Below are 24,780 nucleotides of genomic sequence, written 5' to 3'. Positions count from 1 at the left end.
CACTGGGTACAAGAAGACAGTAGCACTAAGCCAAAAGGTGGCTGGGACTTCACAAAGACCTGAAGAAGGGCTTAGTGGATGCCCTGGGGAAAGGGCTGACGGGACTGAACACCAGGCTGAGGGAAAAGTCCTACAACCTGGGCAAAGTGTATTGACAGAAGGCACTGAGCTGTGGAAAGAGCACTGGACTGTGAGTCCACACTGAGCCTGGCAGTGCCATCCACTGGCTGGGAGGGCTCAGGCAGGGCTCTCCCCTTCACTGGGTCTGAGTTCCTCTATAGGTAAAATGAGGGACCTGCACTAGGTCAGTAAATCAAGCCTTCTTTTAGAAAAGTTTTTGAACAGCAGACTCCTGTATTTACCTAAATCTTTCTTGGGTAATTTGGGGAAAAAAAATTGCTAAGATGGTAATCATAGCCGGGCACGGTAGCTCACACCTGTAATCCCAGCACTTTGGGAGGCAGAGGCAGGTGGATCACTTGAAGCCAGGAGATCAAGACCAGCCTGGCCAACATGGGGAAACCCTGTCTTTACTAAAAAAACAAAAATTAGCTGGGTATGGTGGCAGGTGCCTGTAATCCCAGCTACTCAGGAGGCTGAGGATCAAGAATTGCTCGAACCCGGAGACGGAGGCTCCAGTGAACCAAGATCTTGCCACTTCACTCCAGCCTGGGCAACAGAGCGAGACTCCATCTCAAAAAAAAAAAAAAAAAAAAAAAAGATAATCATAATAATAGCAAGCATTTGAATAGATAGGACTCACTTTTGTGACAGGCAGTCTTCTAAGAGCCTTATCAATGTAAATTGATTTGTTCAAAACTCACAACAAATCGATAGATGCTGTCATCTTCAGGTCACAGACAAAAAAATTTAAGGCACAGAGAGGTTAAGAAATTTGCTCAAGGTCACCCAGCAGGGAATTGGTAAATTCTTGATTTGAACCCATATACTCAGGATCCAGAGAGAACTGAGAGGAATGGGGATAAGTTAGGGGAGATTTAACCAGAAAGGCTAAATCCAGACAAATAAGAAACAGCTGAGAGAGGTGGGGAGACAGCTGGGGTAGGAGGAGGAATCATGAGCTGGAAAGACAATTCTGAAGACTCTTCTAAGAGCACCATTGGAGCAGCTGTGGGGTCTGAGGAACACGGGAGTCAGTGGAAGGAGGGAAGGAAACTTCTCCATTACTGGCAGGTGCTCTGGGATCTCTTTGAGTGGCTCTGTGTGGACACTGGACCATGCTGGGCCACAGCCTTTATTGGGGTTACACTTACAGTCTTATGGAGACAGATCAGAGTGCAGCTGCCATGGCTGAGGTAGCAGGTCCAGGGGTTCATCCTCCCCGTTGTCACTGCCCCAGGCCAGGCCCCTCAATCATTTCTGCAGAGCCCTAAGGCTTCAAGCAATACCATTTGAAAACCGCAATACCAGATGGACCTCCATTCAGTCAGTTCTCTTCTCTGCTTGGATTCGTTCCCATTGCCAAGGCCACAGAGAGCCCACCTAGGTCAGCAGCACCTGTCATCCCCTTGCAGGCAGCTGTGGAAGGCTCACCCTCTAATCTCCCTCACTCCTGGATCCTCCCATCAAAACTCAAGCGTCTGTTAAGTGATGGTTCTTTTTTTTTTTTTTTTTTTTTGAGACAGAGTCTCACTTTGTCACCCAGGCTGGAGTGTAGTGGCGCGACCTCAGCTCACTGCAACCTCCGCCTCCCGGATTCAAGCAATTCTCCTGCCTCAGCCTCCCGAGTAGCTGGGATTACAGGCACCCGCCACCATGCCCAGCTAATTTTTGTATTTTTAGTAGAGACAGGGTTTCAGTACGTTGGCCAGGCTGGTCTCAAACTCCTGACCTTGTGATCTGCCCGCCTCCGCCTCCAAAGTTCTGGGATGACAGCTGTGAGCCACCACACCCGGCCTAAGTGATGGTTCTAACCAGCAAGATGACCTTGAGCAAGCCTCTTCTCAGGGCCTCAACTATCAAATGCAGTGAAGATAACACATTCAGAAGCCAAGAGCCTGGGCTGCAAAACCTCTTAAGAAAGTGAAGAACAGTCAACGTGTAGTGAGCAACTACAAGATGCTGGTTTTACAATTGCAGCCATCGCTGGTTTCACTGTCCTCATTTGACTGAGAAACCCAAGGCCCAGAGAGGGGAAGTGACTGACCAAGAACACACAGCCAGGCAGTGCAGAGTCCAAGTTCACACCCAGGCCCTGGACTGATGCCTCTTCCTTTTCACCCACCCAACCATCCAACCAGCACAGGAGCTTGCACTTATGGTTCTGACCTTCCCTGAACCCTCTCTCATTCCCATGTTTTAGAGACAAGACAATTGAGGCTCAGAAGCACTAACTCACCTGGCCAAGGTCACCCAGCCTTTCACATAGGAGCCAGGATCCAGGCATGTGTGTGAATTCCAAGCTCGGAGCTCTTCCTATTGCTGTTCTGTAACACAGCCCCCCTGACTCCCACCCAGCGCTCAGAGCCTGGGCTTCTGTCTGAACCTGTCCCAGGCCTGGGCTGCTTAAAAGCAGCAAAAAGTTCCTCCTGCAGCTTCAACTTGAGCCTGTCACCATCATCAGCATACCCCGAGAGACTCTGGGGTGCCTGGGACAGGTAGCTGCAGATGCCTCCGGCCCCAAGTTGCCCTCTGCTCCTCCCGAGTTGTGCTCCTCCATGCCAGAGGAGGGAGGACAGCTCCCCTTGCCTCCTAGGCGGTTGGCAGAGTGGCAGCGGCTGCTGCTTCTTCCTGCTGCTGGCTGATGGAGAGATTATTTCTAAGCCCTTCCCATTCCACACCCCCCCACACTGGCTGTCCCCGTGGGACTTGAAGTGCAGAGTCCGCTGCTCAACCAGGACAGCTGCCCTGGCTCCCTCCCAGCAAGAACCCCCAGACCCTCATCTCTCATAAGGAAAGGGACTTCTGGGTCCTTTAAAAAAAAAAAAAAATCCCACCTCAATCCCCCAGGGCTCTCCTGCAGCTGCTGGAGAGAGAGATGCAGAATGAATGAACTTCTGGTTTCTGGAGGAGGCACGGGAAGAAAGATTGGAAACTGACTCTGCTAGAAACTGCTGTTTTGGGGATTTTTTTCTTCCCCTTCATCTCCACCAGAAACCTGTCCCTTCCCTGGGCACCAAGAGATGGGCTCCCCTTGCCTGGCAGAGAAACAGCTGGAAACTGGCTCCCTGAGACAAGAAGGTGAGTTAAACTGGAGGGGAAGAGTTACTGCTTGCTGTAGGGTGGGCGGGGGCCAGGGGGAAGTTGACGCTGTTAGACATCCTTGGCAAAAGTGCTGGTTTGAGTGAATTCCTTTCCCGTGCTCCAGAAGGAGCTGTTTGCCAGCTGTTTGGAGAGCCGTAGATGGCAAAATTGGGTTTATTCAGTGAATGCAGAAAGGGCAGTTTTCAGGTTCTGGAAGGAGCCCCAGGCTGGGGGACAGAGTGCTGGGTTGGATTCGGATTTGCTGTGTGACCTTGGACAAGTTACTTCCGCTCGCTGGGTCTTGGTTTTTGCACTGGGAAAATGAGGAAGCTTGCAAAGGGCTCCCCAGATTTCAAAATACTCTTCTCTCTGCAGGCTCCTCATCCTCCTCTGGCCATTCCCTGTGAGCAAAGTAATGCATTCAGAGCAACAGAATGTTGTGTAGGGAGCAAGAGTGTGAAATAGGTTACGATTCACTCTCCACTATCCACCGGAATCCAACCGGCTCTGAAATTGAGAGGAACTTTGATTTCCGTTCCACTGCCGAGTTTTTCTCTTGATTGGAGTGGAGTGCATCTGAAAATGTAAGCTTATAGATGCTTTGGAAATGGCTTTGGCTAGAATGAATAGCATAAGAAATGGTTGCAGGATCTGAAGGTGAGAAATATTATGAAAAGGACTTTTTAAATATGTGAAGTGGCTAAATCTAAAACACTCACACTAAGTCAAGCACCTCATATAGGTCTGAAATGGAGACAGCATTAGAGGCCCCGTCATTTTTTTTTGTTTTTTTCTTTTTGAGATGGAGTCTCGCTCTGTTGTCCAGGCTGGAGTGCAATGGCGCAATCTCGGCTTACTGCAGCCTCCGCCTCCCGGGTTCAAGCGATTCTCCTGCCTCAGCCTCCCGAGTAGCTGGGACTACAGGTACATGCCACCTTGCCTAGCTAATTTTTGTATTTTTAGTAGATACAGGGTTTCATTGGCCAGGCTGGTCTCGAACTCCTGACCTCAGATGATCTGCCTGCCTCTGCCTCGCAAAGTGCTGGGATTACAGGCATGAACCACTGCGGCTGGAGGCCCCTTCATTCTGCACATAAAAGCCTGCGGGCCCAGAGAGGGGGAGTAACTGGCTGGAGGTCACACAGCAAGGATGGCTGAGGCAAGCACGCAACGAACATGGAGGAGTACTGTGATTGCAAGTACGCAATGCTCCTCCGTCCCCTTAGCAAAGGCCTCCCCAAATGGGGAAGCGACCAAGAGGGATTAAGCGAGACTGGTGGAGTTCCTCCTGAGACCTAGATGCTTGGATGCTCGCTAAGCATAGTCACATTCCTGGGCTACTCGAACCTTTAATAACAGACCCTCGCTGAACCTTCCTGATGTCAGGTGCTTGCTAAACAGTAGGCAAGACACGCAAACCTTCCGTGCGTCAGCCTCCTTATCTATAAAGTGGAGCTCTTATGTCTACTTCATGAGGTTGTTGAGGTGAGTTAGGGGAAGCCAGGCATGTCAGAAGCATCTAGAAGTATTATTAATACACACTTTCTTGTATATTACTGCATATAACCCTTGCCATGCCCTACGATGTGGGCACTCAGACTGCCCCAGTCATACAGATAAAGCAAAGGACTCAGAGACACTGAGTAACCCACCTGTGCTGGCAGTCTGTAAGGGATCGGTCCCTGCCAGTGAACCTGAGAGCCTACATTCTTAAGCTCTATTTTTACTACCTGTACCTTGCAAGATTAGTATGAGTCTTGTCATTTGAATGAATGATGCTGAGATCAGAGAGGTTAAGCCACATACCTGAGACCACAGAGCCCAGAAGTGGCACCGCTCCGACTTGTCCAGCTCAGGACTGAATTACTCAAGCCCCCATCCGTGCAACGTCTATTCTGGAGACATCCTTCTGAGATGTCGGTAGAGGTTCCACCAGGGAAGGGTTTTTTTCACTGATGTATCCCAAGCACATAGTAGGTGCTCAATAAATATGTGTTGAACTAAAGGTTAAAAGAACAAGCCATGCAGATGCAGTCACAGGAAAGCACACGTAAGAACATCTGCAGTCGTGACATCCAGGACTCTTTGCCCCAAGACTGATTTCCCTTCCTTTTGCTTGCTCTTTGTCCCTTGGGTGTCAGACTGGTAAACCCAGCGCTTCCTACCTGGTGGTCTTCAGCAATGCCCATGCCTTCCAGAGACGGGGGCCTGCATCCCAGACACCACCACTATGGTTCCCACAGCCCTTGGAGTCAGCTCCTGTCCAGCCCCATGGAGACGCCGTCCATCAAGGGCCTTTACTACCGGAGGGTGCGGAAGGTGGGTGCCCTGGACGCCTCCCCAGTGGACCTGAAGAAGGAGATCCTGATCAACGTGGGGGGCAGGAGGTATCTCCTCCCCTGGAGCACACTGGACCGGTTCCCGCTGAGCCGCCTGAGCAAACTCAGGCTCTGTCGGAGCTACGAGGAGATCGTGCAGCTCTGCGATGATTACGACGAGGACAGCCAGGAGTTCTTCTTCGACAGGAGCCCCAGCGCCTTCGGGGTGATCGTGAGCTTCCTGGCGGCCGGGAAGCTGGTGCTTCTGCAGGAGATGTGCGCGCTGTCCTTCCAGGAGGAGCTGGCCTACTGGGGCATCGAGGAGGCCCACCTGGAGAGGTGCTGCCTGCGGAAGCTGCTGAGGAAGCTGGAGGAGCTGGAGGAGCTGGCCAAGCTGCACAGGGAGGACGTACTGAGGCAGCAGAGGGAGACCCGCCGCCCCGCCTCGCACTCCTCGCGCTGGGGCCTGTGCATGAACCGGCTGCGCGAGATGGTGGAAAACCCGCAGTCCGGGCTGCCCGGGAAGGTCTTCGCTTGCCTCTCCATCCTCTTCGTGGCCACCACAGCCGTCAGCCTGTGTGTCAGCACCATGCCCGACCTCAGGGCAGAGGAGGACCAGGTGAGCGGCCTCTGATGGCATTCACGGCTCCATCCCGCAGGGTGCCTGGGCGGAGATGTCTTTTAGGGGCCCAAGAAAATGTCTTCAGATCTTAAAATAAGAAGAAAAAAATGAATATTATCCAACATGGGTTATATTCATTATTAGGCCATCAGTCATAAAAGATAATTTTCCATCTTTTTTTTTTTTATTGGAGTCCTGCAAAGGCAAAAGTGCCTAAGGCTCACCGTGAAAATCATTACGTGGCCCTCAGCCATGCGTGGACTCAGTGGGCCACACAGACACAGTGTCACCTCTCCCAGCTCTCCCGAGTCTGTGACTACAGGCAAATCACGCCACCTCCTCTCTGAGCCTGTCTCCCACTCCGTGAAATGGGTAACATCACCTCGAAGGTTTACTCACCCAGTGAACTCAACATGTGTTTACTGAACACCACTCTGTGCTAAGCCCTAGAGCAGGTCAAAAACATAAAATCCCTGCCTTCTTGAGCTAACATTCTCCTGGGCATCCCCACTCCATTTTCAGATGAGGAAACTGAGGCATGGGCCATTTATTTTCCTCGGAGCTCCACAGTAAGGATGCCAATGATGCAAAGGTCCCCGGCCTCAGTTTCCCTGCAGTGCTCAGTGTCTGGGCCAGTCTCACTGGATGGGAAACTCACAGATGAGCTGATCTGTAAGTCACTCTGCCCCAGGAGGCCAGAGTAAAAAGTGCTGCTTGCCCACACCTTCGTCCCCTTTGCAGGGAGTTACAGGAGACCCCGAGACACCCTCCCTCCACTCGGGAGCCAGATGGTCTGAGAAGTGAAATAAGAACCTAGCATTTGGTTGAGAGGGTTATTGGAAAGCTTCAAACAGAGAATTAGATTGTTTCCTGATTTAAAAAATCACTCCTCTCCAGCACCGAGCTCCCCCAGGGCTGCCCATCATCTTAATGTTTGGAGCTTGCCTTGTAATCAACAGAGAGAGAAACTAAACACATACGTAAGATGGTGCTTGCTCTATTTGGCTCCTAACAGTTGCCAGCCCACCTAAGTTCTCTTCGCTTAAAGATATGTCCCAGGGCAAGACAACAGGATCAGAGAACTTGCCAGATAGAAAAGACTTAAATGGAGAACCAGCCCATGCCTCACAGACAGTAGGATCCCAGTAAATATGGGTTGAATAAAATGTGTCTTGTCCAACCTACAAAAGTTTGGCCCTAAAAAAACCCACAAAATATTTGGACCTTTAAACAGCTTGTTTTCCCATGGAGAAGATGACAATGCCAATCATAGGCATTTTTTCATTCTACAGCATAAAAACATGAGATTTAAGAGCCTGCTTGTTCACAGAAATATTTATGTGTGGACTCTGCAGTACAAAGATTAAGACAAAACAAGTGACCTCCCTACCCCATTTCTTAAGGGTGCCCTGATCCCAGTTAATAAAGAAAGGCCCCTGGATGCTCACAAGCCTGTTCCTCTTACAGATTTCCAGAGAAGGGAGAAATTGTGTAGGAGCCAGGATTTCGGTTGCGCAGACGGCCAAGATCTTTTCAAAACCTAATGCTTTGAAAATTACGCAGGGTATGAACCCAGGCCTGGCTTAACAGTGACTCAGGAAATCAAATTAGAGGGGAGAGGTGGGCCCGCAGACCTGCGCAGCCAAAGTTTCAGCCGAGGATCAGGCAGCCACGTCTCCTCCTGGGACAAGAGAGATTTATGCCCGGGCCCAGCCACAATATCTTTATGCTTTCTCCTTAGTGAAAGCATCTTTGTGTGTGTGCCCAGAGACAGGCTGAGGTGCTGCCCAGAGAGTGTCTGTGTTTCCGTTTAGATAATAATTCAGAGAGCAGGGAGGCTGAGGACGGGGCAGTCTTTGTTCTCCCAAGACGGTGACCTTACATTTACGTAAAAGGATGATGTCCTCTTCCTGGACACACGTGCTTTGTATTCCTTATTTGCCCTCAGGGAATGTCAATCTGAGAGGGACCAGCTGCTTCTGGGGACAGGCAGTGCCCATTGAGTTTGGGGCCAGTGTCCTGTAAATTGACCCTGATACCATCCACGCTGAAGAATTAATGTCACGATGGGTGGGGGAACAGATCCCAGGGCTATAACCCACAGAACTCTTCCATCAGAAACAGAAACAATGGATGGACATTTGCTGTAAGCAGTTTCTGTTTTTCTACCTTCTCATAGCAACGTCCGTTGGCATAAACCTGATAGTGGGGTAAAAGGTCTGTGCCAGAGATTGCAAATTACAATGGAGGCTGGGTGCAGTGGCTCACGCCTGTAAGCTCAGCACTCTGGGAAGCCGAGGTGGGTGGATCTCCTGAGGTCAGGAGTTTGAGATCAGCCTGGCCAACACGGTAAAACTCCATCTCTACTAAAAAAAAACAAAAAAAAATTAGCCAGGTGTGGTGGCTTGTGCCTGTAATCCCAGCTACTTGGGAGGCTGAGGCAGGAGAATCGCTTGAACCCGGAGGTGGAGGTTGCAGTGAGCCAAGATTGTGCCACTGCACTCCAGCCTGGGCAACAAGAGCAAAACTCCATCTCAAAAAAAATTACAGTGGAGAAGGGAAGAGGCAGTGTAGACAGGAAGGACCAAGCCAGCACCTGAGCTCTTCTAAGGGGCACCGGATTTTAAAGTTCCGGATTTCCCAGGGGGGACTCTTCCCCAAAAGGATGAAAGAACCGATGCCTCCTAAGTGCCGCTCGTGAGGCTGGCATTTCACACCGTGGACTGATTTCATCCCTGTGGCAGCATAGGGAAGTGAATACCACTTCTACCCCCATTTTACAGATGAGGAAACCGAGGCTCAGAGAGGTTTTATCACTTTCTTAAGCTCACAGTAAGGCAGAGCTAAGATTTGAACTCACCTCTGATTGGCTCTAAAATCCGACCCCCTATGACTACACAACACTGATACCATCTTTCTTTCCTTTCCTTTTCTTTTGTTTTCTTTCTTCCTACCCTCGTTTTATTTTTCTTCCCTTCTTTCCTTCTCTTTCTTTCTCTCTCTCTTTCTTTTTTTAAATTTGAGACAGGATCTCACTTTATCACCAAGCTAGTGTGCAGTGGCATGATCTTGGCAGCTCACTACAGCCTGCATCTCCTGGGCTCAAGTGATCCTCCCACCTCAACCCCCCAGGTAGCTGGGACTACAGGTGGGTGTCACCACACCCAGCTAATTTTTTGTATTTTTTGTAAAGACAGGGTTTCCCCATGTTGCCCAGGCTGGTCTCAAACTCCTGAGTTCAAGCGATCTGCCTGCCTTGGCCTCTCAAACTGCCAGGATTACAAGCATGAACCACCGTGCCCAGCCCTAACTTTCAATTCTGGGCCACTTCGCCTCTAGTCTAGAACCTCAGCCTCAGGGCCATTTTGTGCTTCTAAGGCAGCCAGACTTTGTAAAACAGCTCTCAGGCCAGCATGATGGTGCGAAGGCCAGATGTCCTGGGTTTCAATCTTGGCCTCACCCATGACTAACCCAGTGATCTTGGGAAAGTCACTTAACCTCCTTGAGCCTCAGTTTCCTCCTCTATGAAATGGGGGTGCTCTAAGCACTTCCCTCAAGGGGTCATGTGGTGCATAAAGCAGCTGGGACAGGCCGAAACACGGAGGTGCTCAGCGAAAGTCCGTCATACTGATCATCATTCATTCATTCATTCATTCATTCAGTAGTAGTTAACAGGAAACCAAACATTCATCCTTTACCATCCTTCAACAACAGTCATTGACTGCCTACTAAAGTCCATTCTTCTGGGTGCTGGAGAGAAGACAAATTTCTGATTTCCTTGGAGCTTAGATTCTGAGCAGCCCTGCTCTATTTTTTTTTTTTTTTTTTTTGATAGGGTTTCACTCTGTCCCCCAGGCTGGAGTACAGTGGCACAATCTCAGCTCACTGCAGCCTCTGACTCACAGGTTCAAGCAATCCTCCCGCCTCAGCCTCCTGAGCAGCTGGGACCACAGGCAGGCATCATCACGCCTGGCTAATTTTTGTACATTTTGTAGAGATGGGTTTCACCATGTGGGCCAGGCTGGTCTCGAACTCCTGAGCTCAAGTGAGTCTCCCACCTCGGCCTCCCAAAGCGTTGGGATTATAGGCGTGAGTCACTGCACCCCAGCCCCCTGCTTCATTTTTCTGAGTTGACATTTACATAACATGAAATTGAGCAACTTAAAGGGAACAATTTAGTGGCATTTAGTACAATCACAATCTTCTGCAGCCACCATCACCTCTGTCTAGTTCCAAAGCTTTTTCTCAGCATTCCAAAAGAAAACCCTGTCCCAACTAGGCAGTCTCTCCTCCTTCCTCTCCCACCAGCCCCTGGCAATCACCCATCTGCTTTCTATCTCCATGAATTAGCCTATTCTGGACATTTCATAGAAACAGAATCGTGCCAGGTGTGGTCTTCTGTGACTGGCTTCCTGCTCCAGCATCATGTCTTCAAGGTCCATGCACTGTGCCATGCGTCAGACCTTCATTCCTCTTCATGGCCGAATACTATTCCACTGTATGTATATGCCACTATTGGTTTATCCATCTAGCACTGATGGCCTGCTCCATGTTGATAGCTGAAGATAGAAAGACACGTTCCAAAGACCGACCCCCACCTCCAAGGAACAAGATGGATTTGAGACATGAAGCCAAGATTCTGTTCCCATGGCTGCCATACAGACCCCTTTCAATAGGCAGGATTCGAGATCTAGTCCTGACTCTTTTTTTTTTTTTTTTTTTGAGATGGAGTTTTGCTTTTGTTACCCAGGTTGGAGTGCAGTGGTGTGATCTCAGCTCACTGCAACCTCCTCCTCCCGGGTTCAAACAATTCTCCTGCCTCAGCCTCCCACGTAGCTGGGATTATAGGCACCCAACACCATCCCCAGCACATTTTTGTATTTTTAGTAGAGATGAGGTTTCACCATTTTGCCCAGTCTGGTCTCGAACTCCTGACCTCAGGTGATCCGCCCTCCTCTGCCTCCCAAAGTGCTGAGATTACAAGCTTGAGCCACCACGCCCGACCCCGACTCTCACTTGAATGCACTGGGAGATCCAGGGCAGGTCACGTCTACCCCTGGACCTCAACCTTCTGCTGGTAAAATGATGGTCTGGACTTGTCATTTTACAGGCTGACTGGTCCCTAGTGCCCTTCCAGCCCTGGGCACCTGCAGCCTCATGTCCTGGTCTGTTTGCTGCAGTTTCCCAGGTTCTTCCTTTCCCTCTGCCTTCATTGTCCTCCCTGCCATGCATCCCTCGCACCCTCTCCATGTGGCCTCAGCCCTGGCCGGGCAGCTCTGCCTTTCCCTCCCTCCTGGCAGCCTGAACACCACTGGCCACCTGCAGTGGACTGTCTTTCTTCCTCTTTCCTGCTACTAAGACATCCCAACCACTGCAGATAGTATCAGGTCAGGGTAAGGGCCAGCATCTTTAGTTTGCTCGTCCTGGGTTGAGTCCCAGCTCTCCCACTCCCTGGCTCTGCCCTTGGACAAGTCCTTTTCTTTCTCTGTGCCTCTATTTCCTCACCCAGCAAAGAGGACAATCATAACACTATTCAGAGGGCGGTGCTGAGGACTGAACGAGAACCTGTATATCAGGGGCCAGCACAGAGTGGACGCTTGTTGTTCTGCTCCCCCTTGGGGCTGGGCTCACACCCCTGGACCTGCTCTGCTGCTCTGCTCACCAGCCTCCATCCCTGGCTCCCTCCAACCTAATAGCAATGGCCAAGTCAGGGGCCGGTGGCTCAAATGTCCTCTCCATCCCCTTCCAGTGTCTGCCCTCATTCCTCCTCTGCTCCGGCTGTCAGCGCGTCTTTTCTGAGAGCCTGCTCTGGCTGGAGACCCGGTGGGAGAAGCAGGCGAACTCGCCACGCGCAGGACCAGCCCTGCCGGCCTTCCCACTGTTCTCCTCCCATCTTGGGTGCTACGCCTGCCCCACAGCATTGCCTGGGGCTTTCAGGGATATTGTCAGAGGGACATGCACACCCTATGGCAACCAAGTAAGGTGCCCTTGGTGATGTCTCTGCAGAACCATGGTGGGCTTAGGGAGCAGAACTGCACGGGCTCTTTGGTCCTCGCCTTCCCTCTCATCCTGGACTGTAGACATTTCAGTGTCTTACTAAGGTGGAGGGCAGGGGAAGGAAGGCACAGAGAGAGTTTTCTTTGTTTGTTTATTTTGAGACGGAGTCTTGCTCTGTCACCCAGGCTGGAGTGCAGTGGTGCGATCTTGGCTCACTGTAAGCTCTGCCCCCCGGGTTCACGCCATTCTCCTGCCTCAGCCTCCTGAGTAGCTGCGACTACAGGCGCCCACCACCATGCCTGGCTTTTTTTTTTTTTTTTTTTTTTTGAGATGAAGTCTCACTGTCACCCAGGCTGGAGTGCAGTGGCGCGATATCAACTTACTGCAACGTCTGCCTCCTGAGTTCAAGCGATTCTCCTGCCTCAGCCTCCCGAGTAGCTGGAACTACAGGCGCCCACCACCATGCCCAGCTAATTTTTGTATTTTTAGTAGAGACGGGGTTTCGCCATGTTGGCCAGGCTGGTTTCGAACTCCTGACCTCAGGTGATCCACTAGCCTTCGCCTCCCAAAGTGCTGGGATTATAGGCCTGAGCCACTATGCCTGGCCCACAGAGAGAGATTTTTCAAAGACCAGGCGGGACTCTTGGGGCCTCCTCCCCGGGATGCAGCTCACCTTTTGGGGTGCCATTTCCACCTCCCTGCCTCCTCACCCTTTAGTAAGAGGCCCTGTACAAGAGCCAGCTCCTGCCTCCTCATCTGTCCCTTTCTCGGACCATGAATCAGCTTCCTAAAAAACTGGCCTGCTCTCTGGAGCTTCTCTGTGCTTGGTGGCATTTGGTAATTGCTCTAGCGAATGCTTCTTATCCTAGTTTTGTTGCTTTTGTTTTTTTCCTGCAGCTGTGTCTCTCCCTATGTCCCAGCCAAGAAGCAATATTCCCTGTTTCCTGGCCTGGGGCCTCCTTGATGCTCTGCAGGTGACACTGTTTCCTCTGCCTCCTCACAGTCCCCCCACCTCTGCAGGTCCAACTCCAGCCCCCCGCAAATGCCCCATGCAGACGCCACCACCCACACTCATTCATGAGTCGTTCAGGAAGGGCCCCTGCAGGCCGGGCCTGTGCTGGACACTGGGAGAGTCCCTAGGTCTCTCCTTCGGTGACTGCTGACGGGACACCAGCACAGAGGCGATGGGATGGCGGCCCGCCTTCCCCACACGGGGAGAACCGCTGTGAGATTCAGAGTCAGTGGATACTTCTTAGACCCCTGCTGGGCTCCTGGCCCTGTGCTAGTCATTTCCCTGTTTCCTAATTTAATCCTCACCACAATCCCATTCTACAGATCAGAAAACTGGGTCTCAAGAAGTTATGCAACTTGCCTGACAGCAGCTAAGCTAGTAATGCTCCCTCAGTGGCAGCTGCTTTTTTTTTTTCTTTTTTTTTTGAGACAGGGTCTTGCTCTGTTGCCCAGGCTGGAGTGCAATGGTACAATCTCGGCTCTCCTCCAACCTCCTGGGTTCAAGTGATTCTCATGCCTCAGCCTCCCGAGTAACGGATTACAGGTGTGCACCACCACGCCAGGCTAATTTTTGTGTTTTTAGTAGAGACAGGGTTTCCACACACTGGCCAGGCTGGTCTCAAACTCCCTTGCCTCAAGTGATCTGCCCACTTCAGCCTCCCGAAGTGCTGGGATTACAGGCGTGAGCCACCATGCCCAGCCCAGTGGCAGCTGCTTTCTAGTAAGAATTTGCTGGAACCTCTAGAAGAGAAGTCAGCCATCCAACCCGCCCAAGGTGAAGGCCGTGGAGAGCCGGTGATGGATCAGCCACAGGGCATGAACCGGAGGGCAGCAGCGGGAGAGGACTGAGGAGGAAGAGAAGCAGCGTAGATTTGGGAAGCTTCTACACTGCAGCATCCCTCAGCGGGTCTCCCGGGTGCCCACAATCGCCCTGTGGGATGACAGTTACCTTCCCCACTTCACAGAAGGGAAGACGCCTTCAGAGAGATGACTCATCGGCCAGGTCCCATGGTGGGGCTGACCCCGTCCGGTTGGTTCCAGCACTCTCAGAGCCCTTGTGTCCCAGGGTTGGGAAGTGGGGACAGCTGCTAGAAGGAGTGGGCGGGGGGGTGGCGGGGAGACCTGGGGAGGAGGGATTGCGGCTCGGGGTGAGTAGTGCCTGGGGGGAGGCCCATGGGAGCGGAGTAAAGGAGGGGAGGGTAGCGGAGGGCACGGCTGGCCGAGAGAAAAGTGGCTAAAGGAGTGGGCAGAGGAGTGAGTCAGCACATCCAGGCCCCAGGAGAGCCTCAGAGGAAACAGCTCAGGGCCTCGGGCCAGGGCCAAAGGCACAAATGGTGAACTCACAGCAGGAGGGAGGGGAGGGAGGGATGCCGAGCTGCAGAATGGACCAGCCCTGACTAAGGAGCTGCAGAAGTGAGAGGTGGCCACGTTCTGAAGTGGGGCTGGCAGCATTTTGCTGGGAGGGACAGAGGGGGCGAGGAAGTCTCCAAGGTCAAGACTGTGGGCCCTGAGCCCCTCCCAGATGGAGCTTCCAGAACTGGCCTGCATTGCATCTGCAGGGCCCCCAGGGCAGCAGCTTTGCCCTCAGGAAGCCCCGCTCTGCTGCTGCGTGAAACAGGTGAGGGCCAGGCTGTGGGACCCCCACTACTTCCACTTCCTGCCTCCCCCAGGAGTGTTCAGCCAGCTCAGACTCCGACGATAACTCCCATACCACAATATTGGCCCTTTTAAAGTGCACAATTCGGTGGTCTTTAGTATCATCGTGGAGCTGTGCAGCCATCACTGCTACCCTCCTCCTCCATCCAGCCCCGGACACCCACCCCTCTGCTTTCTGTCTCTGTGGATTTGCCTGCTCTGGACATCTCACATAAGTGGAATCATCCAACATGTCGTGTCTGTGTCTGGCTTCTTTTCACTCAGCATCGTGTTTTCAGGGTGCATCCATGTTGTAGCACGATTTAGCCCTTCATTCCTTTTCATGGCTGACTACTATTCCATTGTATGAATAGGCCGCATTTTATGTATTCACTCATCAGTTTATGGATGTTTAAGTTGTCTCTACTTTGGGGCTATTATGAATAATACTACCATGGACTTTTGTGTACAAGTTTTTTTGGGTTTTGTTTTGTTTTGTTTTTTTCTGAGACAGATTCTAGCTCTGTCGCCCAGGCTGCAGTGCAGTGGCACAAGCTTGGCTCCCTGCAACCTCCACCTCCTGAGTTCAAGTGATTCTCCTGCCTCAGCCTCCCGAGTAGCTAGGATCACAGGCACCTGCCACCATGCCTGGCTAATTTTTGTATTTTTAGTAGAGATGGGGTTTTACCATGTTGGCCAGGCTGGTTTTAAACTCCTGACCCCAGGTGATCCACCCGCCTCGGCTTCCCAAAGTGCCAGGATTACAGGCGTGAGCCACCACACCCGGCCTGTGTACAAGTTTTTGTGTGGACATGTGTTTTCATTTGTCTGAGCTATACACCTAGGAGTGGAACAGCTGGGTTGCATGGTAATTCTGTTTAACCTTTTGAGGACCTGCCAAACTGTTTCCACTGCCGCTGCCCCATTTTACATCCCCACCAGTAGTGATGGGTTCCAGTTTCTCCACAATCTCACCGACACTTGGCTATTGTCTGTCTTTATGATTTTAGCCATCCTAGTGGATGTCAATTTGTGTCTTATTGTGCTTTTGATTATCCTTTTTTTTTTTAACTTTTCATCATGGAGAACTTCAGACATTTACAAGGTAAATAGAATAATATAAGGAACTTCTGGGAAACCATGACTCCATGACTTAGCTACACACAATGGTCAATATTCTGCCGCTTTTGTGTATGTTTGTCTTTGAGACGGAGTCTCGCTCTATCGCCCAGGCTGCAGTGCAGTGGTGCAATCTCGGCTCACTGCAACCTCCGCCTACCAGGTCCAAGCCATTCTCCTGCCTCAGCCCGCCAAGTAGCTGGGATTACAGGCATGTGTCACCATGCCTGGCTAATTTTTGTATTTTTAGTAGCGACAAGGTTTCACCATATTGGTCAGGCTGGTCTCGAACTCCTGACCTCAGGTGATCCACCCACCTTGCCCTCCCAAAGTGCTGGGATTACAGGCGTGAGCCATTGTGCCCAGCCAATATTCTGCCATTCTTGTTTCCTCTCTTTCCATCCCCTCTCCACCTCAGATCACTTATAATCATTTGTTACTATTTTTCTTCTACAGTTTTACAGGTGAAATGTACATACACTGAAATGCACAAATCCTAGGTGTAGAATTTAATAAACGGATGCACCCGTGTCAGCCTCTCCCCTGTGAGTATAGAATATTTCTGTGACCCCAGAAAGCTCCCTCGTGGCCCTTCACAGGCCATCCCTACACTACCCAGAGGCAGCCACTGTTCTGATCACTTTGTGCACCCTAGATGAGGCTGCCTGTTCTCGAGCTTCCCACAAGTGGAAACACACACCCGGCTTGCTTTGCTCCACATCATGCCTGTGGGATTCATCGGTGTTGTTTCACCATTCACACCCTGGGCCTTCTCCAGGCTGACGCTTGCTCTTCTTCATTGCAGGAAGGAGCCAGAACACACCTCGCTCTGCCTGTGGCAAGGGCTAGGAATAGGGTGACCAACCATCCCGGTGTGCCCAGGGCCCAGGGGGTTCCTAGGACCCGGAACTTTCTGGGTTTAAGCACAGAACTTCCACAAAGGGAGAAAGGAAAACTTTTTTCTTTCCTTCTTTCCCCTTTTTTTCTTTTCTTCGAATGTTTGCTAAGCTGGGAGTTATTTCCTCTGCCCACACTCCATAAACACCCCCTGCCCCAATGCCAGCATTTCTGAGGAACCAGTGCTGGGAGGCTGGATTTAGGATGCACAGCAGAGCCTGATGCAGGTGCAGTGACGCGGCAGAGCAGAGCCCTTGCTGCAGTCCAGAGAGGTGGCCAGAGGGCCAGGCCGTGGGAGGGCAGGAGCCGGTGTGCATGGCTTGAGTGTCCAAATGCCAGCCCCACAGGCAGGAGGAGGACCTGGCAGCGCCTTCTCGGCCTCTCAGGAGTCACCTTCCTGAGCTATCGGGTCATCAGTATGGAAAAGTTATTCCCAGGCTATAAGTATTTTAAGCCTAGGGAGAAACTCCCAGGATGTCTGCAAAGAGAGAGGCCTTGTAGGCAGAATCTAGCTCAGAGTCTGAAAACCTTCCAGGTGCCTCAGAGTGAATGGGGGGAGTTACCAAAATGTAGATTCCCGGGCCCCACCCTAAGGTTTGGATTTTGTGATGGGGGCCCAAGAATCTGCATTTACAACAAGCACCCTGGGGGCTTCTGGTGCCAGGGTTTCCAAATCAGCTTTCAGAAATACCAATTCTGTTCCAAACTCTGCATTGGAAACTGAAGCACAGAGAGGGCCAGTGGCCGCTGCAAAGTCACACAGCAAGTTTGTAGCAGGGCTGGGGAATCAGAACCCAAAACTTCTGAGCCCTTCAGGATCCTGAAGCAAACCCTGGGCAGTCATGGCAAAGACCTCTCGGTGGGCTGGAGAATCCCCTCATCTTCCTGTAATATCCAGCAACAGGAAGAAGGTATTGCTACCCTTACACTGACCAGGAGACTGTGGTCCATGACCAATGTATAGTTCGGTTAAAATGGCTACAGCGCATCCTGTGCCTGCTAGGTGCACGGTCCTGTTAATGGCTTTATGTGCATAATTTCCATTCATCATGACAGCCCTCCAGAGGTTAGACAACTGAAAGTCCAGAGGAGACAAGTGATTTGCCCAAGTAAGTGGAAGAGATGGGATTTGAAACTGCGCTAGGCTCTGAGAGTATTGTAACTAGACAAGCAGACATGGTTTCTGGGGGGCTTGAAGGCTGGTAGGGCACAGAAAGTTCCTGATTCTCCAATCTTGCTAAAAACTTGCTGTGTGGCTTCGCACTGGCCACTGACCCTCTCTGTGCTTCAGTTTCCAAAGAAGAGGCTGGAACACTCTGGACTCCACCCCTTGGCAGTGCTGCCTCTGACTCCCACCCCTGCAATAGTCCACACAGAAGTCCAGCCAGAAAGGTGCCCTGCCCTGGACAGGCAAATAGAGACTGTCGTGGTTCAGTCTCTTTCTCTTTCTCCAGCAGCCAGGCATAAAGAACATTTCAATTTATGATTTCTGTGGACACTGGAAATAATTTCTTTTTCCATTTCAGAGCATTTTAATCCAGAGAAAACTGTGGTTGTCAACACCTTGCCTTTTACACAGAGAAGTTGCTTTGGCCATTCATCCATTCATCCATCAAATATACATATCTGTGTGTGTGTGTGTGTGTGTGTGTGTGTGTGTGTGTAAATATGTATAGCAAAGTTTTCTACCCTGGCTCCACATTTGAATTATCCATGGGGGTTCTGGAAAATTCTACTGTGCAGCTCAAACCTACATTAATTAAATTAGAATCTTGGGAGGACCCTGCCCAAGCAACAGAATGTTTCAAGGAACCCCCAGGTGATTCCAACATGCAGCCAAGCTTGAGAACCACACACTAGAACAGTGCCTGTCAAACTTCAGTTTGCATGAGTCACCTGGAGACCTTGTTAACTGCAGAATATGATTCCGTGGGATGGGGTGGGGCCTGAGATGCTGTGTTTCTAACAAGCTCCTCGGGGAGGCTGATGCTTTTGGCTCAAGGTCCACACTTTGAGTGGCAGAAGGACTGGTGGAACTACCCTGAACTACTGGGGAGGAAGAACAAAATACAGAACTCAGAACGGCCCCCGCCCAGCTGGAACTGCTGAGCTAGAATCCCGCATGTCGATGGCAGCAATCACACATCCCAAGGGCTGTCTTGGGGATTCAGGAACCCTCTCTGCCCCACCAGCCTTCAAGCCATCAGAAACGATATCTGTTTGTCTAGTCACAGAATGCCCGGGGTTAGAACCATGCCTGGCACAAAGTGGGCCCTCCATACATTTCTGTTAGCTAAATGAATGAGGGGTGGTAAACAACAAAGTTACAAAATAGCCAACAGTATCTAAGAGACCCTGGTACCGCCTCCTATGTATGTGAGCTCAGGCGAGTCACTTCACTGCTGTGACCAACTTCCTGGGCCATCAAATGGGGTCACACTGCCTGCTCATAACATTGCTATGTGGCTTGAGTGACAGCAGGAGAGCAGTGCGTGGTCCCCCAAGGTACTTAACATCATTAAGGTACAGGCTGGCAGCTATAACAAAGAGACCCCAAACTAGAATAGTTTTAAGCCAAATTTTTCTCTTGTGCAATAGTCCCAAGGTGAGGGATGTAGGTGAGTATCGACAACTCTTATTCCAGATTCTCCCGCCTTGATGTTCCCTCCTCCCCTGGGGCGCTGGTCCAGTCCTCTCTTCTTAGCTGGGTTGCAGGCCCATTTGTGCTGTCCCGGCTCACAGGAAGGATGGAAAGAGTGTGCAAGAGTTAGATCCAGAGGTGGTTTGCATCACTTCTGTTTCCAGTCCGGAGGTGAGGACTTAGTCATATTTGGCCACACCTAGCGGCAAGGGAAGCCAGAAAGAACAGTCTCTGACCTAGCCGATCTGCTGTGTACCCAGCCACAACTGGAAAACTGTGTAAAAGGAGGTTCTGGTGGACGACTAAGTTTACAGCACAAAGCTCATGGGCATGAAGTCGTCCCCCGATTTCCAGCACAGTTGCAAGTCCACTCTCTACCCCGCGTTGTTGCCTCTTCTCCCCGCAGGGCGAATGCTCTCGGAAGTGCTACTATATTTTCATCGTGGAGACCATCTGCGTGGCCTGGTTCTCCCTGGAGTTCTGCCTGCGGTTTGTCCAGGCCCAAGACAAGTGTCAGTTCTTCCAGGGGCCCCTGAACATCATCGACATCCTGGCCATCTCCCCATACTACGTGTCGCTGGCGGTGTCTGAGGAGCCCCCGGAGGACGGCGAGAGGCCGAGCGGGAGCTCCTACCTGGAGAAGGTGGGGCTGGTCCTGCGTGTGCTGCGAGCGCTGCGCATCCTCTACGTGATGCGCCTGGCTCGCCACTCGCTGGGGCTGCAGACGCTGGGGCTCACCGTGCGCCGTTGCACACGTGAGTTCGGCCTGCTCCTTCTCTTCCTGGCCGTGGCCATCACCCTCTTCTCCCCTTTGGTCTACGTGGCCGAGAAGGAGTCCGGGCGGGTGCTGGAGTTCACCAGCATCCCCGCCTCCTATTGGTGGGCCATCATCTCCATGACAACGGTGGGCTACGGGGACATGGTGCCCCGCAGTGTGCCAGGCCAGATGGTGGCCCTCAGCAGCATCCTGAGCGGGATCCTCATCATGGCCTTCCCGGCCACGTCTATCTTCCACACCTTCTCCCACTCCTACCTGGAGCTCAAGAAGGAGCAGGAGCAGCTTCAGGCCCGCCTCCGCCACCTCCAAAACACCGGTCCAGCCAGTGAATGTGAACTCCTGGACCCCCATGTGGCCAGTGAACATGAGCTCATGAACGATGTCAATGACCTAATCCTGGAGGGCCCAGCCTTGCCTATCATGCACATGTAACTCAGCACCCCCCATGACTACATGGTAACCTCAACCCATCACCCTGCCTGAAACACACTCAAGGGTACCCCGCATAGACCACCTGGTGGTGTTTCTAGAGCCCAGGGAAGACTTTCAAAGCTGGAGGGGCATAAGGCCACAGAGGCTGTGTGTCTGTGATCCTTGTCCCTCGGGGCCCCGATGTCCCAGGCTGACTGTGTCCAGCCTGCTTGCCTTTTCCTCTCTCTGCCCATCTACTGAGCATGTCCAATCTTGCTGGAGTAGCTCAGTCTCCTTTCATTCTCTTTTCCTTCCCAGCAGAGGCTTTAACATCCCAGGCTGGGTTCTGGATGCCCATAGAACTGGTAACCATTGGTATTTGCATACTGAGCCTATGTAATTTCATGATTTCCCTAAGACCCTCCTTCCTGGGCCATGCCACCACTGGAAATCAAAGGTCCAGTCACTGCAAACCCCTCTAATCAGATCTCCCCACCCAACCTTTCCACGGGTTCCAGAGGGATCAATATGTTCTCCTTCTGCTCACCACCACCAGTGATATTTCCCTAATGCTGCTACCTCCCGCCAGCTCTGAACACTTGTAGCTAAGAAGGCAGAATCAGCCTTTTTGCAGTAAATCTCATGTTGAGGCTGATGCCCCCAAGCCTGCCATCCTTTACCTGGAGCTCAAGAAGGAGCAGGCATCCCCAGGCATGCCTGGGATCTGTGACCTGGGACCTGGGACCTGGGACCTGGGCAGAAACTCCACTTTCCAGCACAGCCAGGCCCTCCCTGGCCGCCTGGACTCTTGGTGTGGTGTTCTCCAGTTATCCAGTCCTTAGCCTTGACAGAGACAAACTCTTTCAGGGTCCATGTTGTCCCTTGAGAGGATCGTTCCTGCTGCTGGTTGCTCCCACACTGCAGGGGCCTTAGCTTTTCATCCACAGCTGAGCCCCCATGGACTCAATGTAGCTTTGGCACAGAAACAAGGGGAATTGTAGGTGCTGTCCCTTGCTGGCTTCCCAGACTAGTCATCTCCATGCTGGAGGATAGACATTCTTAGCTCACATTTCAATGTATTCATTTCTGCATTCATCTGTGAACAGAGTCTGTCCTTTGCATCCAGGGGAGGAGGCAGATGGAGGTCTGAGTCACTGGAGATAAACCAGCATATTCTGAGAGCAGGCAGGAAGGAGCAATGACTTCCAAGCAGTGGGCTCCCAAAGGCCTCACAGAGACATGGGCAGGGCTGGAGAGTAGAGGTGTATTTTAGGAGATGAAGCTGAACAGCTGGGTTGGGTTGAGAAGGCGTGGGCCTTGAATGCTTTATGGAGGGCAGAGTGATGTGCACAGGCTGTGGGTTAGGGAGATGATGAGGCTGGATTGGGCATGAGAAGCCCAGTTTGGGATGAGGAGCCATTGAGCCATTCAGGCAAGACAGCCCTCCCTCCTTCACGGGCTTAATCCTGCAAGATTCTGTCAAATCCTGGCTTCTCCCAGCAGGACACACCTTGGAGACATCCTGATGGCACTTCCCCAGAGTGGCATGGCCCACATAGGAGTTTGCTGTTGGCTCTAGGACTCTTGAAGAAAGTGCACAAGATCAAAACAGGTGACAGTGAAGTGGTTTCGGCCCTGCCAATCTGATATCGTGTACGTATGAGAGTGGTCAGCATTTTACCACTGGTAACAAGTTCCTTGCTGTTCATTCATTCTGCTAGTTTTTTGCGATTTCCCGCTGTGTGCCAGGCATAGTCCTCCACTGATGGCAATGCCAGACAGCAGCGTGGCAGAGGGCTCTGGCCCAGGAAGCACCCTGCACCAGCACCTAGCGTCCAGGGAGCCTTGGCCTCCTGGCGAGCCTGCCTTTCCTTGGAGTCCTCCAGGTGTCCCCCCAACTATACAGGCACATGTCCCCATTCTTTTAGACCCCAATCTTTCCCAAGCTGACATGTCACCAGGTGACATAGTGGTTCAGTGGCCATGACACAAGGAAAGCCCCTTCACCCTATAAAATCCCCAGCCTGGATGGCCACTCCACTCCACAAAGTGACAGGCAGATTCCCATAAGCGTTGCGTAGAAATTCCATGTCACAGGCACCTTGGACAGTAGCCATAGAAGTGTTTCTGTTCCAGAGTAACATTTTATTTATTACTTATTTATTTATTTATTTATTGACAGAGTCTCTCTCTGTCCGCCAGGCTGGAGTGCAGTGGCTTGATCCCAGCTCACTGCAACCTCCGCCTCCTGGGTTCAAGCAATTCTCCTGCCTCAGCCTCCCAAATAGCGGGGATTACAGGCACCCACCACCTGTAATCCCAGCTATTTGGAGATCAAATGCTCAGCTAATTTGATATTTTTAGTAGAGACAAGGTTTCACCATGTGGACAGGCTGGTCTTGAACTCCTGATGTCAGGTGATCCGCCTGCCTCGGCCTCCCAAAGTGCTGGAATTACAGGCACGAGCCACCGCACCCGGCCCAGACTAACATTTTTTTTTTTTTTTTTTTTGAGACAGAGTCTCCCTCTGTCACCCAGGCTGGAGTGCAGTGGCTCAATCTCGGCTCACTGCAAGCTCCGCCTCCCAGGTTCACGCCATTCTCCTGCCTCAGCCTCCTGAGTAGCTGTGACTACAGGTGCCACCACCACGCCTGGATAATTTTTTGTATTTTTAGGAGAGACGGGGTTTCACCATGTTAGCCAGGATGGTCTCCATCTCCTGACCTCGTGATCCGCCCGCCTCGGCCTCCCAAAGTGCTGGGATTACAGGCGTGAGCCACCGTGCCCAAGCCTGACTAACATTTTAATAACTACGCTTAGGCAAAATAGTAAAAGGACAAAGTCTCCCACTTACTCTCTTTCTGGGGACTGACTGGCTTGGGCGCTGGCTGAAACCCAGTGTCTTCACTCCCTGTGTGACCTCGGGCAGGCCCCTTCCCCCTCAGTTAGCTGCAGGCAGGTGTTGGACTAGATCTGTGGTTTTCTGACCTGGGTTCCACAAAGCAAGCTCAGGGACTGTCCTGCGGATGAAGAAGACCAGCAGCAAAGCAGGCAGAGCTCTGCCTCCTGGGGCAAAACATTTGCAATTAATGACACTGAAAAGAATGTGCAAATCCCCAGTCTCCTCTCCTTCCCGTCAGTGTCCAGCCCAGCCCTTTGAACTGAGTGGTAAGCTCATTCTGGAACCAGAGACAAAGCCTAAACAGCCACTGGAAGGTCTGGGACCCACATCAGCCCCCACATCTGCCCTGCCTTCTCATCGAAGACATATTTTGTGCGCATGCCTGGTGAAAACTTCTTAATGACAGCTCTGCCCATCCCTGTAACTGGCTTCTACCCAGGCATATCCCTTCTCCTCTGCTTCACCTACCAGACCTCTTCACCAAAGTGTGCCAGCACTAAAAGAAACATTTAAAATCAAAATTAGGTGAAGCACCACCACCATTATGAGATTCTATAGTGTCTTAATGTTCACCCAGTTGAGATTCTCTGCTAAATTAGACATGGAAAATTGGAATTGATTGCTCGCATGTGGGGCTTAATTAAACGCTCTATTTTTTCTCCCTGGTAATGTCCCAGGAGACGGGTCTAAATTGTTTTAGTCTAGCGTTGCCGAACTGCCTTTCCTTCGTGCTGATTGAATGGGGTGGAAGTGACAAGCAAGTTACCAGGCAGTTTCTTCACCCCTGTTGGCTGAAAGGTCCCTTATGTTACCCAGAAGCTCTTGTTTTCTCTGAGGCCAGTGGGCATGACTATAGCCAAAGGTGGACATCTTCCAGCTGAAGGCAAAGAGAAAACGGCCCTTTACGGCGAGCCATTTTCGTGTTGTATTGTCGACGTGGTTGCCAGAGGTAACTGGGAAACTTTGACTCAGCGTGTCCTAGCCAGACAGAGTTGAGCCCAAGAAGTGAGACGGAGAAGGGTGAGTTAATTCTTCAATAGCATGAAAGGTATGCAAGACTGTACTGGGGACCCGTTGACTCTGTTTCGATGGTTTTAGGACTTTAGAATATGGTAACTGGAAGTCTCATTGGAAGACAGTCAATCCGAGCAGGGAGTTTCCACGAGGGACCTGTGCACCTCTGTAGATGACGTGCATGTCACAGTGCAAAGTGTCCAGTGATTCCATCGGATTCTCAAGGGAATC

At 51.5% G+C, this 24,780-nt stretch overlaps 1 protein-coding gene across 1 annotated transcript; it reads left to right on the top strand.

The window, feature by feature from the left end:
• The first annotated feature begins 2,858 nt into the window (after window positions 1-2,858).
• KCNG4 (potassium voltage-gated channel modifier subfamily G member 4) lies at window positions 2,859-24,214 on the top strand. The gene is made up of 3 exons (NM_172347.3): window positions 2,859-3,201; window positions 5,346-6,141; window positions 19,851-24,214. Exons 2-3 carry the CDS (start codon window positions 5,386-5,388, stop codon window positions 20,652-20,654), a joined length of 1,560 nt encoding a protein of 519 aa, NP_758857.1. The 5' UTR covers window positions 2,859-3,201; window positions 5,346-5,385; the 3' UTR covers window positions 20,655-24,214.
• The last annotated feature ends 566 nt before the right edge of the window (window positions 24,215-24,780 follow it).

The sequence above is a fragment of the Homo sapiens genome, chromosome 16 (genome assembly GCF_000001405.40).
Source record: "Homo sapiens chromosome 16, GRCh38.p14 Primary Assembly".
In the NCBI taxonomy this organism is placed as follows: domain Eukaryota; kingdom Metazoa; phylum Chordata; class Mammalia; order Primates; family Hominidae; genus Homo; species Homo sapiens.
This window is presented reverse-complemented; position numbering and strand designations above follow the sequence as displayed.